The sequence below is a fragment of the Homo sapiens genome, chromosome 2 (assembly GCF_000001405.40).
Source record: "Homo sapiens chromosome 2, GRCh38.p14 Primary Assembly".
In the NCBI taxonomy this organism is placed as follows: Eukaryota; Metazoa; Chordata; class Mammalia; order Primates; family Hominidae; genus Homo; species Homo sapiens.
Genome location: NC_000002.12, coordinates 207,930,153 through 207,946,994, shown reverse-complemented (window position 1 = coordinate 207,946,994; position 16,842 = coordinate 207,930,153). Strand labels below are relative to the sequence as shown.

The following is a 16,842-nucleotide window of genomic DNA, read 5'->3' as shown; positions in this document are numbered from 1 at the left end:
GGTGAACTCAGACAAGATACTTAACCTCATAAAAATCTTAGATTCTTCATCTATAAAATAGAATTAATAATATCTTCCTCATAGAGAAGTGGTGCTGGTTAAACAAGATTCTGTATGAGATGCCTTCAGCAAAGTGCCTGGTGGAAATGGAGTTCTGAGCAGGGCAGTGAGGAGATAAAGGCGAGGTTGTAGAGAGACTGATCTCTGGCAGCTGTATGCAGAAGAGATGGAATCAGAAGAAACCAGAGACAGGGGACCAGTTGATGACCCTTACAGCAATACCCTAGGAGGTGAAGGGACAGGCTGTCAGACTAGGAAGAAGAGGACACAACTGTACAACTCTATTATCTGTAACTTCTTTTTTGTTGCAGACTAGGTAAATGAAATATAACCTTGTTCTGTGATGTTAGAGCTCTATAACCTTGTTCTGTAGTGTTAAAAGTACAACAGCAATCATAGACTCTTCCTTTTTCCTTGAACAGGCTGCCAGCGATCCATAGGTCTTTCCAATGGGAAAGCCAAGGTGTGCAACTACAGTGGGTGGTATTACTGCAGTAGCTGCCACGTGGATGACAGCTTTCTCATTCCAGCACGCATAGTCCACAACTGGGATACTTCAAAGTATAAGGTAGGTACAAAAACTCAGTTCACTTAATAATAATAATTCAGGTGTTCATATGTTCTCAGGTGGATTATAAAGATGGTGATCAAACAATTTGAAGCAGATATGATTAGGTAGTCTCATAAAAGCTGCAAGACCTTACCTAATGCTTCTTATATATCTCACAGTTGAAAGGCTTCTTAACTATGACTCTTATTAGTTTCCTCATTTAAAAAGACATATAGAGCAGTTTTTACTTCTGGTGCTAGAGAGAATTCTGAGAGAGAGGAGCCTCTTTTATTATTTTTTATTTGATCTTATCTTCAACATTACAACACTATGGGAAGATAAAAATGGGAAAATAATACATGCATGAACATGCTAGTGATCTTTCTAGGCAAGGCCTTATATAATCCAAGATATTTCTTTTGTTTGTTTGTTTTGTTGTTTTGTTTTGTTTTTGTTCATTTGTTTGTGTCGGCTTTTTTTTTTTTAGACATTGTCTCACTCCATCACCCAGGCTGGAGTGCAGTGGCATGATCTTTGCTCACTGCAACCTCCACTTCCTGGGTTCAAGTGATTCTTGTGCCTCAACCTCCCAAGTAGCTGGAATTACACACATATGCCACCACGCCCAGCTAATTTTTGTATTTTTAGTAGAGACGGGTTTCACCATGTTCCCCAGGCTGGTCTCAAACTCGTGACCTCAAATGATCTGCCTGCCCTGGCCTCCCAATATGCTGAGATTACAGGCATGAGCCACTGTGTGGTCCGAGATATTTCTTATAGTAGAGTAGCGCTCCTACTCATGTGAAGGTCAGTCTTCTAGCAAATCCAGGCCTTTGGAACTAGAACCAGAACCTTGAGAGAAGCTGTGAAGACTTCTGACTAGGGGCCAACAGTAAGGAACAGTACACTGAGCCATCCTCAGGCCTTTGTCAGCACTGCTGTTTTTTAAAAAGGAGAGCAAGTGAGAATCACAGGTATATGCTAATAGCTTTGCAAAGTAACTGCTAACAGCCAAGGAGGCTCTTCAGGAAGTATAAATAGCAGGCTTAGTGGCTATCAAAATGCAGGTCAATAGAGGAGAAAAGTGAGCACGGGGACCCTCCAACTTAGGAGCCTAGAGACAAGAGGAGGGACCAGCAAAGGAGGCCAAGAAGGAGTGAGCAGTGAGGTAGAAGGATCCCAGGGTGTCTGACAAGCCACGTGAAGAAAGTGTTTCCAGATGAATTGTGACAGATGCTGATAGCTCAAATAAGATGAGCACTGAGAACTGACGATTTGCTTTAGTAATGTGAAGGTAATTAGTGACCTTAATGAAAGCAGTTTGAATGGAGTGGTGGGAGCAAAGGTCTGATTGAAGTGGGTTCAACATAGAATAGAGAGAGAGAAACAAGAAACAAGAATAGACAACTCTTTTGAGAAGTTTTGCTATAAAAGGAAGAAGAGAAGTCAGGAGTAACTTGAAGGGAAGTGGGGTCAAGTTAGGTTTGATTTTGTTGTTGTTGTTTTAATGGAAAAAATAACCGTATGTTTTCTATGCTGGTGTAAACTATCCAGAAGAGAGAGAATTGCTAGAATGATATGGTTGAATCAGTAAGAATGATGGAATTGCGTGAACAATAGGAGGGTCTGGCTATTGCTTGGAGCATGGAATAAGAGAAAAAAGCTGTCTGCAGCCATAGGGGCCAGTAGGTACTTCGATGTGATGTTGGAAGCTTGTTGAAGTTGTATTCCATTTATATCAGTAGCTTTCATCAGATTCTTTTATTTCAGCATCTGTGATCTTAAAGAGATGAAATACCCAGTCCAAGTTACCCTGTGAAGTGCCATTATCTTCTACTTCGTAGAGAAAATAGGGGTGATTATGCAATAATCCTGTCAACTGACCTATAAACGTGCCTACATCCGCATCTATCCTCATTGTCCTCCTTCCAGCCACCAAAGAAACATTACTTGTCATATGAAAGTTTATCCCTTCTGCCTGTATTCATGGTCTTCTCCTCTCGTCTCCATCACAGTTTTGCCAAATCTCGTCTCTTCTCCAACACAATTTTGCCAAATCTGTTGACCCTTGGCAGTTTCTTATTCTACTGGACTTCTCTAGGATACACTATTTGACCAGATGGACCATACTCCTTTTGAATTCTCCTGCCTTGGTTTTGACAACACACCCCTGGTTCTCCTCCCTCTAACTCTTCTTTTTCAATCACCTTCTCTAATTTCTTGTCCTCTGCCTAAACCTTTAATAGTGGGCTTCCTTAAGATTCATTATTTTGTTTCCCACTTTCTTGTCTTTCTATTGGGCATCTCCCTCACTTACATCATTTTAACTACCAGGATTCTTATGCTGATAATTCCTACTTTTATCTGCAGCTCCAGTTTTGCTACTAAAATTGAAATCTGTGGCTTTAATTGCCTATTGGACATCTCGACTTTATTTTCAACCTAGTAGTCTTCAAAATATATAAATTGGTTAGCTATATGGTACAGCATTTCTTTTTTTTTTTTTTTTTTTTTTTTGAGACGGAGTCTCGCTCTGTCGCCCAGGCTGGAGTGCAGTGGCGGGATCTCGGCTCACTGCAAGCTGCGCCTCCCGGGTTCACGCCATTCTCCTGCCTCAGCCTCCCAAGTAGCTGGGACTACAGGCGCCCGCCACTACGCCCGGCTAATTTTTTGTATTTTTAGTAGAGACGGGGTTTCACCGTTCTAGCCGGGATGGTCTCGATCTCCTGACCTCGTGATCCGCCCGCCTCGGCCTCCCAAAGTGCTGGGATTACAGGCGTGAGCCACCGCGCCCGGCCTATATGGTACAGCATTTCTATCCTTGCATTAAAAAAGGTAGTAGAATTTGGCAAGTCCAGGAATCTAACTCCCTACTGGAGTAGCACTCTAGGCTTAGGATTCTGTTATGATCCTGCATCTTACACACATAATAGATAACATACTTCAATTACCTGATATGACCAGAAGCTTTTCTGATCCTTCTGCCAGAATGTTGTGACATCTGCCTTGAATGTACCTTCTGTGCAAGGGGCTTCATATGGAAACAGGCTGTATGACTGCTTTTAAAATTGATCCATAATAATTGTACATGTTTATGGGGTATATGTAATATTTTGATACATACATACTATGTGTAATAATTAAATCAGGATATCCATCACCTCAAATATTTATCATTTCTCTGGGTTGGGAACATTCAAAATGTTCTCTTCTAGCTATTTTTGAAATATACAATAAATTGTTATGAACTATAATTGCCCTACTATGCTATCAAATACTAGAACTTCTCTTTCCCACTATATTTTTATACCCATTAACCAACCTTTCTTCATTCCCCTCTTCCCCCTACTTTTCTTAGCCTCTGGTAACCACCATTCTACTCACTACCTCCATGAGATCAATTTTTTTGCTCCTACATATGAGTGAAAATATGTGATATTTGTCTTGTCTGTGCCTGCCTGCCTTCTTTATTTCTTTATTTTTTTTGAGATGGAGTCTTGCTCTGTTGCCAGGTTGGAGTTCAGTGGTGCAATCTCGGCTCACTGCAACCTCCGCCTCCCAGGTTCAAGTGATTCTCATGCCTCAGCCTCCTGAGTAACTGGAACTACAGGCACATGCCACCACACCCAGCTAGTTTTTGTATTTTTTAGTAGAGACGGGGTTTCACCATGTTGGCCAGGATGATCTCGATCTCTTGACCTTGTGATCCACCCTCCTCGGCCTCCCAAAGTGCTGGCATTACAGGAGTGAGCCACCGGGCCGAGCTGGCTTATTTCACTTTAATTTCCAGTTCTATCCATGTTGCTGCAAATGACAGAATTTGCTGCATTTGACAGAATTTGCTGCATTTGACAGAATCCATGTTGCTGCAAATGACAGAATTTTATTCTTTTTTCAAGGTGTGGAGTGCAGTAGCACGGTCATGGCTCACTGCAGCCTTGACCTCCTGGGCTCAAGCAGTCCTCCCACCTCAGCCTCCCAACTAGCTGGGACCATAGGTGCACATCACTACATCCGACTAATTTTTGTATTTTTTTGTAAAAGAGTCAGGGTTTCACCATGTTGCCCAGGCTGGCCTCGAACTCCTGAGCTCAAGCAATCTTCCCACCTCGGCCTCCCACAGGCATGAGCCACCACACCTGGACAAGAATTTCATTCTTTTTTATGGCTGAATAATATCCCATTGTGCATATATACCACATTATCCATTTGTCCATTGATGGGCACTTAAGTTGATTCCATATCTACCACCTTTTGGTTATATATCTAGCAGTGAGATTGCTGGGTCATATGTTAGTTCTATTTTTAGTTTATTGAAGAACTCCCATACTGTTTTCCACAGTGGCTGTACTAATTTACATTCCCACTAATAGTGTCTGAGCATTCATTCCCTTTTCTCCACATCCTCACCAGCATCTGTTATTTTCTGTCTTTTGAGTAATAGCCATTTTAACTGGAGTAAGATGATATCTCATTGTGGTTTTGATTTGCATTTCCCTGATGATTAGTGATGTTGAGCATTTTTTAACATACCTGTTGGCTATTTGTATGTGTTTATTGAGAATTGTCTATTCAGATCTTTTGCTCGTTTTAAAATAAGATTTATTTTTGTTGCTACTGGGTTGAGTTGCTTATGTATTCTGGTTATTAATCCCTTGTCAGATTAATGGCTTGCACATATTTTCTTCCATTTTGTACATTGTCTCTTCACTTTATTGGTTGTTTCTTTTGCTATGCAGAAGCTTTCTAGCTTGATGTAATCCTACCTATCTATTTTTGCTCTTGTTGCCTGTGCTTTTGAGGTCTTACCCAAATAATCTTTGCCCAGGCCAATGTTCTGAAGCATTTTTTCAATGCTTCCTTCTGGTCATTTTATTTGTCAGGTCTTACATTTCAGTCTGTAATACATTTTTATTTGATTTTTGTATATCCTGAGGGGGTCTAGTTTCATTCTTCTGCATATGAATATCCAGTTTTCCCAGCACCATTTACTGAAGAGACTGTCCTTTCCCCAGTGTAGGTCCTTGGCAGCTTTGTTGAAAATGAGTTGGTTGTAAATGCATGGATTTATTTCTGGGTTCTTGTTCTGTTCCATTGGTCTATGTGTGTATGTCTGTTTTGATGCCACCTTGCTAACAGATGTCTGAGACTTACTTTCATTGTAAGTGTGTTACCTGGGAGCAAGTAGGTGGGAAAGGGCCCTAGAGCTGTCACCTACCTGGAATCGTTGGTGTCTAATAAAATAAACATGAAAATTGTGAGTGGTCAATTGGCTTATGTCCTTTTCTAATATATCCCTGGGCAACTCTGTGTCCAGTTCTACCCAATAATCATCCAAATCTTCACTGTTTTCAAGATGCCTCTTCCTAAGTATTCTCAGCATATGACCTTGTCTCCTACTTCAAGGAGAAAAATGAAGTTATGAAATATGAATATGAATATCTACAAATCTATCTATATTTGTACCTATCCTATTTTCCCTCCTAACTTGAGAGAAAGAAGAACCCCTTCTCTTGTTTAGTGACCATCTTTCCACCTGTGCTCCAGATATTTTTATCCATCTAGGGAATCCTTGCTTATTCTTTGAGAGCTAAAGAAGGCATGTCCTCCGTGGTGACAGCTTTTTTGTTGCTCCTCACCATTCCCCATTGACTGCATTGCTGGCTCTCTCCTTCGTGCCACCATCGTGTCATGTGGCCCTTGAGGATTGCACTTATTAAGGGATTAATAGCAGGAGCTTGGAGTTAAAACCTCTACCTGTTATCAGGTGCTTGATTTGTTGGGGCAAGTTGCTTGAATTTCCTAGAGCCTCAGTTTTGTAATCTGTAAAACGAGCCCAGACTGCCAGAGCTCAAGTCTTAGCATTGTGACTTGTTAGTTAGCTGTTTAACCTAGGCAAGTTATTTAGACTCTTGGTGTCAGTTTCCTCATATGTAAAATGAGGATATTAATGCCTTACAGAGTTACTGCTGGGTAAATGGGTTAATGCATGTGTCATGATTAGAACAGTGCCTAGCACATAGTGTGTACCAAATTTGTTCTCATCATAATTTCACATATTTACCTAAAAGAGTTGTGTGAATTGGGGTAATATAAGAAAAGCACTTAGCAAATGACTGTGATAAGCACTTAATTAATGGAAGCTGTTACTATTTTCATTATCATAACATCTATATAACAGCTAGTTGCTTGTCTATTTTCTCTATAAAGGTGAGCTCTCTGGGCACACGGAATGTGTTTTAGCACAGTTCTGGCACATAGTAGACAAGCAGGAATGTATATTAAATGAATGAAAGAATGAAGCCTGTCCCCTGGGAACATCAAACTCAACAGTTCCCAAATTGGCCTTATCACATCACACTCACCAGATGTTCCCCCAAGTGCACATTACCTGTCTTAGTGAATGCCCCACAGTCACCACTGCCAGATATGGGAGACATCCTGGACTCCTCCGTCTGCCACACCTACGCTGCCTAAGCAATTAGCAAAACCAAGCCTTTATTTTAGCTCCTGAGGCCATGCTCTCCACTGTACTCCAGTCCCACCACACTAACTCAAACCCTCAGTATCACTTACATGAAGGAAGACAGAAGCCTCCTATTTGCGCTTCCTGCCTTTAAGCATCACTCTCTGGCTGGTATATTTCAAAAGAAAAGTCCTAATCTTACCTTAAGTAAGTTTCTTACTCTCTCTCAGTCTTAGTTTCTTCACCTTTAGAATGGAAATAATAATAGAACCCAGTTCATAAGGTTGCTGTTTGCTTAAATGATTCACAGAAAGCACCTGGCACAGGGTGTGGCGCATCATAAGCCCTCAGTTATGGTTAGCTTTGACTACAATTGTATACAGGACAAATACAATTCTCTTAGCCTTCGTGATCCTTAGTCCCTGCCTGCCTTCCTAGCTCCTTCATCCATAACCGTTTCCCAGCACCAATCTCTTCATTAATAGTACAGCCATCCGTCTATTTCCCTGTCATACCGTGCTGTTTCACACCTCTTGTCTTCCTCTTGCCCTCACCCACAACAGCAAATCCTAAAACTCAGCTTAAAACCTCTTTTCCTCTCCTGATTGTTTCTTTCCTCTCTACCAGACAAAATTATCATTCTATCCTCTGCTTCTTGTACTTGACACTTTGAATATAGGCTATAAATATATTTGCCATGTGTGTATTAGATAAAAACTTATTTAGAGGGAAAGAATGATAGTTGAGCTTGGTTTAGAAGTTTTGGATTAATCTGCTTGGAGCGGGGCTTTGACAGCTATGAGAGGTGTATAGAGAGCAAGTGAGTGAGGCAATCCGAGCCCTGTGATCCATTGAGAGCTTAGGCGTGTGGCACTTGCCACCAGAATACACACCAATTAGTAAAGCAAAAGCAGAAAAGGTGGCACTGAATAAGAAAAATGAAAAGGCAAGCATGGTTGATGATGGCATGAAATGGAGGAGGAGATCCGAGTCTGTTTGCAGTGAGCTCTGAAGGTCACAGAAATCACCAATTTAGCCATCATTGACACTTAAAATCTCTCTGTAAAGCAGGATGTTTTGTTTTGGTGGTCATTCAAGTAATTAGATTTGATTTTGAGAGGATAGCTAGGCAATTGAAGATATTAGGTACACTCGCTTCATCCGTGTTGCACATGAGGAAAATCTCCTTTGTCAGACCACTCCTTCCCAAGTTCTTAGTGGACCAAGGAAGATTTTAAAGCAAAAGTGGACCTGGTGGATTTTATCTGGATCATCTCTCATTGGCATTAAGTAACTATATTCCATTTAGTCCAGTGTCTGGCTGTCTTTTCTCAGATATCAGGATTTAACTTAATTCTCCTAATTGTGAGGATCAATTCAGACCTATCAGTTTCCAAGACCAGACATCGTTCTGTTAGATCTGCCTGCTGTCCTTAATAGCAAGTACGTGACTGGCTTGAATAGCCATTTAAAAGAGTAAAAAAATGGTTTTGCAGAACAGAATGAAATCTGTCATCTTAAGCATTTCCTGGCCTGCCCTCTGGAGTATTAATAATCCTAATTATTTTTAAAGCAGGATTTCGTCTATTTTCTGGTGTTATACTGAAGATTGAATTGAGCTCCAAGATTAGGAAGCGCTAAACCCTATCCTCAATTTCTATAGCCATTTTCTAATAAAATCTCTTTGAAGATAACTTTCCCTATCCCCCTAATCAAAAATATCAAGCGTAGCAAAGAGATGTTAAGGAAATCAAACAACCCTAACTCTTCCAAATAGTTCCCCTTAGTTTTGTTTTAAAAAAATTTATTTGTATCCTAGCTTGAATATTCACATTCCATTTAGCTAGGGGTTTTCCATGTTACATAAACCATTTCCTATTTCTACATCTTGAGAGGTATTCAAGGCAAGCTCTACTGCCCTTGTGGAGCTGAGGAAAAGCTCACTGATGGGAAAAACCTCTTGATCAGAGTCATTTGGAGATTCTGAGAACAAATTGTAATTAAACTGAAGGTTTCCTAATTTCTCCTCCATTAGCCCACTGACTGTTTTAACAGGACTAAGAAGTATTACCGTTAGAATTGATTTTATTATGATTTTGGCTATGAATTTTTATGATAGAGATGGGAATAAACACAGGAAGGAAATGTTTTACCAAAGCAATAAGGTTATTTTACGGTGGTAAGATTATAGATATTTTTTCCTCTGTTGATCTTTATTCTCCAAATTTTCAGTAATGGGATTATATTACTTTTATAATTTTATAAATTTTAACTGTCATATTTTATTTAAGAAAATGTATATTAAAAGTTAACTTTTTTAATGCCTTGGAATTTTTTTTTTTTTTTTTAGAGACAGTGTCGTGCTCTGTTACCCAGGCTGGAGTGCAGTGGCATGACTGTAACTCACTGCAGCCTTGAACTCTGGCACTCAAGCATTCCTCCCACCCCAGCCTCCTGAGTAGTTGGGACTACAGGCGCACGCCACTACACCTGGCTAATTTTTAAATTAGTTTTTGGTAGAGACAAAGTCTTGCTATGTTGCCCAGGCTGGTCTCAAACTCCTGGCCTAAAGCAATCCTGCTGCCTCAGCCTCCCAAAGTGTTGGGATTATAGGCGTGAGCCACTGTGCCTGGACCAGAATTATAAATGTAAATGATTGTTCTGTCCTGTGATAGATAACTTGAGAGTTTAATGGGATAAGTGAGGCTGTTTTTCCCTAAATGCCTTGCACTGCTATATTTTATTCATTCTTCTTTTTTGAATACAGTATACTTTCAGAAAGTTCAAGGTTCAAAAAGTAAAAGGGGGCGTGCGTACATACATAAATAATCTCCTTTTTACTCACCCCATTCTTCTCAGAGGCAACCAAAACACTCCTTTCTCGTGTATCCTTCCAGAGATATTTTATGTACATGTATTTTTTCATACAAAAATGACAATATAGTATATACCCTGTGCTTAGAGAGCTTTCCATTTAGATAATAAAACTCTTCCTTGCATTTTTTAAAATATTTCATGAATTTTACATGCATATTTACACACACACACACACACACACACACACACACACACTAATTTATCTAACCAGTTCTTTTTTGGTGGACATTTAGATTTTTCCAGTCTTTTGCTATTATAGACAGTAATTCAATGAATAACTTTTTACATAATATTGAATATAATTTTTTTTCATTGATAAGCAAAACTATCTGTAGATAACTTCCTAGATATAGGCATGTACAATTTGTGAGTTTGATGGATAGTGCCAAGTTGCCCTCAATTAGGGTCGTATGCTCTTTGTTTTCACCTTGTAGCTTCCTGTAGGTGCCTCTCTTCCCCTGGTGCTAGGATGTCAGCTGTCATTTATGTTGTATCCATGCTGCCTCTAGCTATCTTTTCTTCTTTATGGACTCTAAATATGTTATGAACTTAGAAACAAATAACCAAGCTGTAGGAACTATGTCTAAAGCAAGAGTGTATGCTTCAAAGTTGTGGCCAGAGCATTGTAAATTATTCATTCATTTGTTCAACAAGTATTTATTGGATATTTATTGTGCTCACTGTTCTAGGCACTGGGGATATAGTTTCTGCCCTTATGGATGCTCTTATTCCAGTGAAAGGAGAAAGACAGTAAAAAAAATACACAAATAGACTGGGCGCAGTGGCTCGTGCCTATAATCCTAGTGCTTTTGGAGGCTGAAGCAGAAGGATTTGCTTGAGACCAGCTTGGGCAGCAGCAAGACCCTATCTCTACAAAAAATTTAAAAATTAACCAGGCCTTGTGTCATGCACACGTAGTCCTACCTAGCTACTCCAGAGGCTGAGGTGGGAGGATCCCTTGAGCTCAGAAGTTCGAAGTTACAGTGAACTATGATCATGCCACTGCATTCCAGCCAGCCTGGGTAACAGAGCAAAACCTTGTCTCTAAAATAGAATAAAATAAAATAAATTGCACAAATAAGTAACTTTTGTATAAATGAAATGTTATTGAACTTCAGTTTTATTTTAAAGTTAAAATCAAATGGGATCCTACATGTCAGTGTCCTGCTTAATTACATTATAGATTAGTCTTCATTTGTAGCCTACTTGCTGTAAGATGGAGAAGGGACAGGAAAACTCTTTTATGAAGTGATAAGCTGATAGAGTATGGTAACATTATTAAAAAATAAGAATTGTGAATATAAACAATGCTAAAAAGCACAGAGCAGAGTCTCCAGGGATCTGAGTTGTGGCTCTAATTCTACCATGACATGACCACAAATAAGTTACTTATGCTCTTTGTACTCAATTTTCTCTTCTATTAAATACAGGCAGTGGATTAGTTCAGTGTTTCTCAAAGTGTATTCCATGGAGCATTACCAAATTCTTTCGTGTTAGTAGGTGTTACGCAAAAAGGAGGGCCACAGCTAGGCCAGCTTTATGGGAATTGGAAAAGAGCCCCTCCAGAACACAGCTCAGCAAACTCACAGCTTAGCAAGAGGATGCAGCAAGGTAGAGAAAGACGCCCTTTCTTCTGGTTGGTGAGTGGGGGTCCGGGCTGGATCTTATCTCCCACACTCCCACCGCCCATGCATCATGTGCAGCACTCAACAGCTGCCCTGTCTGTAGTAAAATAGCTTTGAGAAGTGGCTGGGTTAAGCAGGTTTTCTTCGGTACAAGATGTCTCAGTTTTAATATGCAAACATGCTGTACTTTGAATCTCCAAGGAAACAAAGTGGTGTGTGGCATACATCTTATTGGACCTTAAAACGTCTTTTTTTGTGGGACTAGTGTTCCTTGGAACACAAGCTGAGAAAAATTGAATTAGATTATCTTTACTAGTCTTTGTTATTCTACAAGTCCTTCTTATTCGTGTTTTATTCTGATACATTTTCCTCCTTTAATAAAAACAAAGTCCACACTACCACCACCATAATACCATGTCGTCTCCAAATTGCTATCTATGGTTAAACATTCCCTTTGCCCCATTACGTTATCACCAGGGGCTATTTTTGTGGGGGAGCATACCAGAACACTCTCCCTCAGGATTACGCAAACCTGAACAACATTCAAGAACTTTGTTTTTAAGAAGTGGCTGTCACTAGCGTAACAAAAGTCGTATTATGTTCGAATCTATACTGATGACACTTAATAATGTTCAAATCAAGTGACATGTGTTTACTTATAAATGTATATGTGTAAATAGCAGATCTGATCATTGTTAGTTTGTAGCTAATCATAATGTGATTTTACCATTTTCTCCACCTCCTCCTGAATGTGAGGTAGGGGAGGAGGCCTCTTTCCTCTTGGATTCCTCCTTCTCATCTCTCTTGAATCATGTAGATGGCAGGGTTGTGAAGAAAGAATCAGTTCACAAACTGCAGCACAATCACTGTCACAGAGTTGAGTTCTTATAGCTTAAACTGTTCTGTTTATAAGCTACAAAAGCTATGGAAAGAAATTCGTTCATATGAATAGAAGGAATATAATTAATAAATATTAAATATTATTTGGTAAAATACTAATAGGTCAATACTAATACTAATGTGAATGGAGTGGTATCATGGAAAAGAGTGCCAGCCGAAACCATTCATTTGAGCTCATTCATCTGCACCTGACTATCAGCTGAATTTTTCTTTACATCAGAAATGGCAGCAGGCTTTTTAGGTTTTTCATAGTTTGGTTGGCAAGAAGTAGGACAGTAGCTCTTAGCTCTTAGTTGGAACATAGTCAGTGTTCACATATAATTCATGAAATATTTATATTAACAAAAAAACTTTTTCTCACATAAACTTTATCACCTAAGAATATCTTTGGCTTTTGTTCCTAAGTAACTTTTTTTTTAACATTTTTAATTCGAGTTGAGTTTGAGAGTACAATCCTCATGCCAGTGTGGAGGGTCATTTAGAACTTAGGAAATCAGTGGGGATACAATGCTCTATTTTGCAAAAATAGTAGGCCATGCCAGATTTTGAGTTCTCTCAAAAATTCCCTCACCGATTATTAGTGGCTGATTCTCAAAAATGAGTGCATGTGCTCAGCCTTGCTGCCAAAAATGGCTGAACGTGGTGGGGATTTGTTCATGTACTCAGGCAGCAGCGGTAGCGATGTGCACCATATGCCTACTGCTAGTAACAACTGGTGAAGGCAGCGCCTCCGACATGGTTGAAACGAGCTCTGTTTTTGTTTTTTGTAATTTCAGTTTATGAATACTGATGTCAGTGGCTGCTGTTCCATTTGTCTCACTGCTTTTACTTTCTCTGTAAAAGATTTTTTTCTTCCTTTCGGGCTTAAGTACCACCTGAAGAGAGAAGCCTTTTAAGGCCTGGGAGACTGGCCAGTGCCCTCTGTCGCTCTGTTCACCTACTAAAAGGTAGCATTGTTAACCTAATTCAGCAGGGCCCTGACTCCATATAAACACTGCTCAACAGAGCCAGAAAGACTAATTGAATTGTACAATACATCATTTTTCAGCAACAGTTTCAAGTGGGTTGTACTTCATTTCCCAAAACACCATCAGTCTTTTCCTCATTTTAAGATATTTAAATATCACAAATATTTAATCATGATAAATAAAATATTTAAACCCAAGTCTTTCTTTCCCACTGAACTGTGGGCTATTATACCTAAAGACAGGGCCATGTTTGTTTTATTCTCCACTGAATGCCTAATGCCTGCTACAGTATCTGGCATGTACCTGTGTCTATTAATAGATGCCTCAAAAATAAAAGTGAGGAATAACTGTTATTTCCAATCTGGTTAGATAGTTGAAGATTTTGGCTAATTCTAGGTGCCTTTTTGTGATTTTCAGAGACTGTAAACTTCTCTAATTCTGTAACTCTAACTCTGCAGGATGCTATAGGATCACACAACACAACAGGTACCTCAAAAATAATTGCTTATAAGGAAAAAAATTAGAAGTTTATTTTTTAAATGATGTATTTTTTTGCATTCCTATAAAGAACATAAACTTTGGTATAAGCTTTGCAATATAAGAAAATGATCATATTGAATTTTATGTTTATGTACGAGAAATTTATAATCAACATATAATAGCCATACATTTAATTATGACATATACATACAGAGGGGTTTTTATGTTTGTTTCTGCCTGTTGTACTCTATTCTGTCCCACATTTGTTCACCAAGTGAATTTCTGTTTATCTTCTACACCCAGATCCAAGTGCCACCTGCTTTGCCAACCCTCTCCCCACCAGGAGAGTTGATTTCTCCTTCCTCTAAGCTACCAGTGGGCCCCATCCATACCTCTTTTGTAGCAGATGACAGGGTACATGCTGCATGTTACATGTGGTTTTGTTTTAAATACTTGTCTCATACTACACAGTGAGCCACTTGAGGGAAGGAACTGTATCCTATATATCTTTATTAATATACTTCTAGCCTACCATATGAAACATAGATTTTTTTTTCTTTTTAATAAGCAAAGTTTTTTGTTTATTTTAATGTTGAATTCTAACCTTGCTCCTAGAGAGATTTTAATGGAAAGTTTTTAGAGAGGTTTTATCTTCCATAAATAGAAACTGAGCCAACTTTCTATGTATTAGTAGCCAATCTACATCTCACTGTCAGTGATTGGTATGTAGAGATTCTGAAAAATTACCCTCATGTTATGCATTATTTAAGCCACTCCCTCTGTATCTCTGAGACATTGTGTTTCCATGTACTATTTGTTTCTACTGATGACAATGACATTATAAAATGAACTTTCATAGTCTTGTGGATTACCGTGGATTACCACTCAAGGTGAATACAGAATTGGATGGATATATTGGCTGGAGTTAGCTGAAGTTCAAAGTTGTAATAAGAGCAACTCCTTTCTGGTCACTGAAGCAGTATATTTGAGCTTGTTTGCTAGTCAGTCAGATTATTCTGCAAATAATATCCTTTTATCCTTTTTGAATGTTGTAATATGTACATGATTTAGTCTTTTTATTTGTTTGTTTGTTTGTTAGATGGAGTCTCGCTCTGTTGCCCAGGCTGGAGTGCAGTGGCATGATCTGGGCACACTGCAACCCCCGCCTTCTGAGTTCAAGCAATTCTCCCGCCTTAACCTCCCAAGTAGCTGGGATTACAGGCATGTGCCACCACGCCTGGCTAATTTCTGTATTTTTAGTAGAGACGGGGTTTCGCCATGTCGGCCAGGCTGGTCTCAAATTCCTGACCTCAAGTGATCTGCCCGCCTCAGCCTCCCAAAGTGCTGTGATTACAGGCATGAGCCACCACACCCGGCCTTGATTTACCTATTTTTTAAGTGGCTACTTTTCAAAAGTGTTATGGAATATTCATACATATATATGCACATATAAATTTATGACGTTTTTAAAAATCAGCATTTGTGTTAAAACAGTCTTCTTAATTCCTTTTTTATTTTGAAATAATTGTGGATTCACAGGAAATTGCATAGACAATTCAGAGAGGTTCTGTGTACCTTTCACAGTTTCCTCCCTTGGCTACATCTTAGGCAACTAAGGTCCAATATCAAAAACAAAAACAGCAAGTTGACATTGGTATAATAAGTCAGTATAACGGCACCATACTGTGCCGTTCTGTCACATGTGTAGGTTCCTGTAATCACCACTGCAGTCAAGATACAGAATTAATAAATTCCTTCCTAGCTTACAGTTGAATGTCTGGAAGAGAGAGAAGTCAAAATTTACATTTAATTCAACTACAGACTTTTTCATTTGTCTGTATTGAGAAAATAATCGTGTTCCTTTGATATTTCAGCTATGGTTCCTAGTTTGAGCAGGTGTGGAGAGCCAGGTGCTTCTCCAGGACTGACTGACGACGCTTGTTTTGTAGGTGTCGAAGCAGGCCAAGGAGTTTCTGGAGTACGTGTACGAAGAGCCGCTCATCGACATCCAGCAGGAGAACGCCATGCTGTACCACCACGCAGAGCCGCTGGCCGCCGTGCTGCGGCTGCGGCAGCGGCTGAAGTCGCTCCGAGCCTATTTGTTCAGCTGCCGGGCAGCGGTGGCAGAGGATCTCCGCCGCAGGTAAGAGTCATAAATCTCAGACGGCTCCCGTTTGTTTTTCTTTCCCGCCCACGGAGGGTGGTGAGATTATCTCCAAAGGGCCTTTCCAGCACGGACCGCCTCTAATTTTGTGGCTCGCCCTCCGCCTCTCCACTGCCAGCCTCTCTCTGGGCTCATCTTTTTACTTTTTTTACTCCAAGGTCCCCATTTGGTTAAGCCAAGCAAAATGAAAATAACATTCACCGTTACTGAAGGCTTTCACCCATGGATCGAGTGCCCAGGACGGTGAAGGCTTCTCTTACCAATATGTTAATTTGAGATAATAATCATGGAAATATCTATATTGGTCACTTATGTAGTATTTTATACTTTTCCCAATTTCAATTCCTGTTTCTCATCAGCAAAAAATAAGCATGTTTAAAATAGTTCATAACTAAAAAGCATTTTCAATGGGAAATAAGTAAATGGTTATTCAAATTTTATTTTATTTTATATATTTATTATTTTTTTATTTTTATTTTTAAAGAATAGAGACAGAGACTCATTCTGTTGCCCAGGCTGGTCTTAAAAATCCTGGACTCAAGCGATCCTCCTGCCTCAGCCTCCCAAAGTGTTGGGATTACAGGTGTGAGCCACTGTGTGGGCCTCAAATCTTATTTTCTGTACAGAAACAAATACCCAAACTTGGTCAATGATGCAGGCAGTAGAGCTATAATTAAAATGCACAGGCCCAGGATTCTGCCTTTTCATCTTACCGTGGGTGCAGGCTGCTTTCCCGTAACTTAGTTAGCTCA

At 39.6% G+C, this 16,842-nt stretch overlaps 1 protein-coding gene across 8 annotated transcripts in view; it reads left to right on the top strand.

The window, feature by feature from the left end:
* The window catches only part of PLEKHM3 (pleckstrin homology domain containing M3), a 204,240-nt gene that overhangs the window by 78,533 nt on the left and 108,865 nt on the right, over nucleotides 1-16,842 (top strand). For all 8 annotated transcript variants that reach the window (XM_017004073.2, XM_005246545.4, NM_001080475.3 and 5 more), the window contains 2 exons: nucleotides 483-628; nucleotides 15,876-16,069. In XM_017004073.2, the coding sequence (XP_016859562.1) occupies nucleotides 483-628; nucleotides 15,876-16,069 (340 nt within the window). The remainder of the gene's footprint in view (nucleotides 1-482; nucleotides 629-15,875; nucleotides 16,070-16,842) is intronic.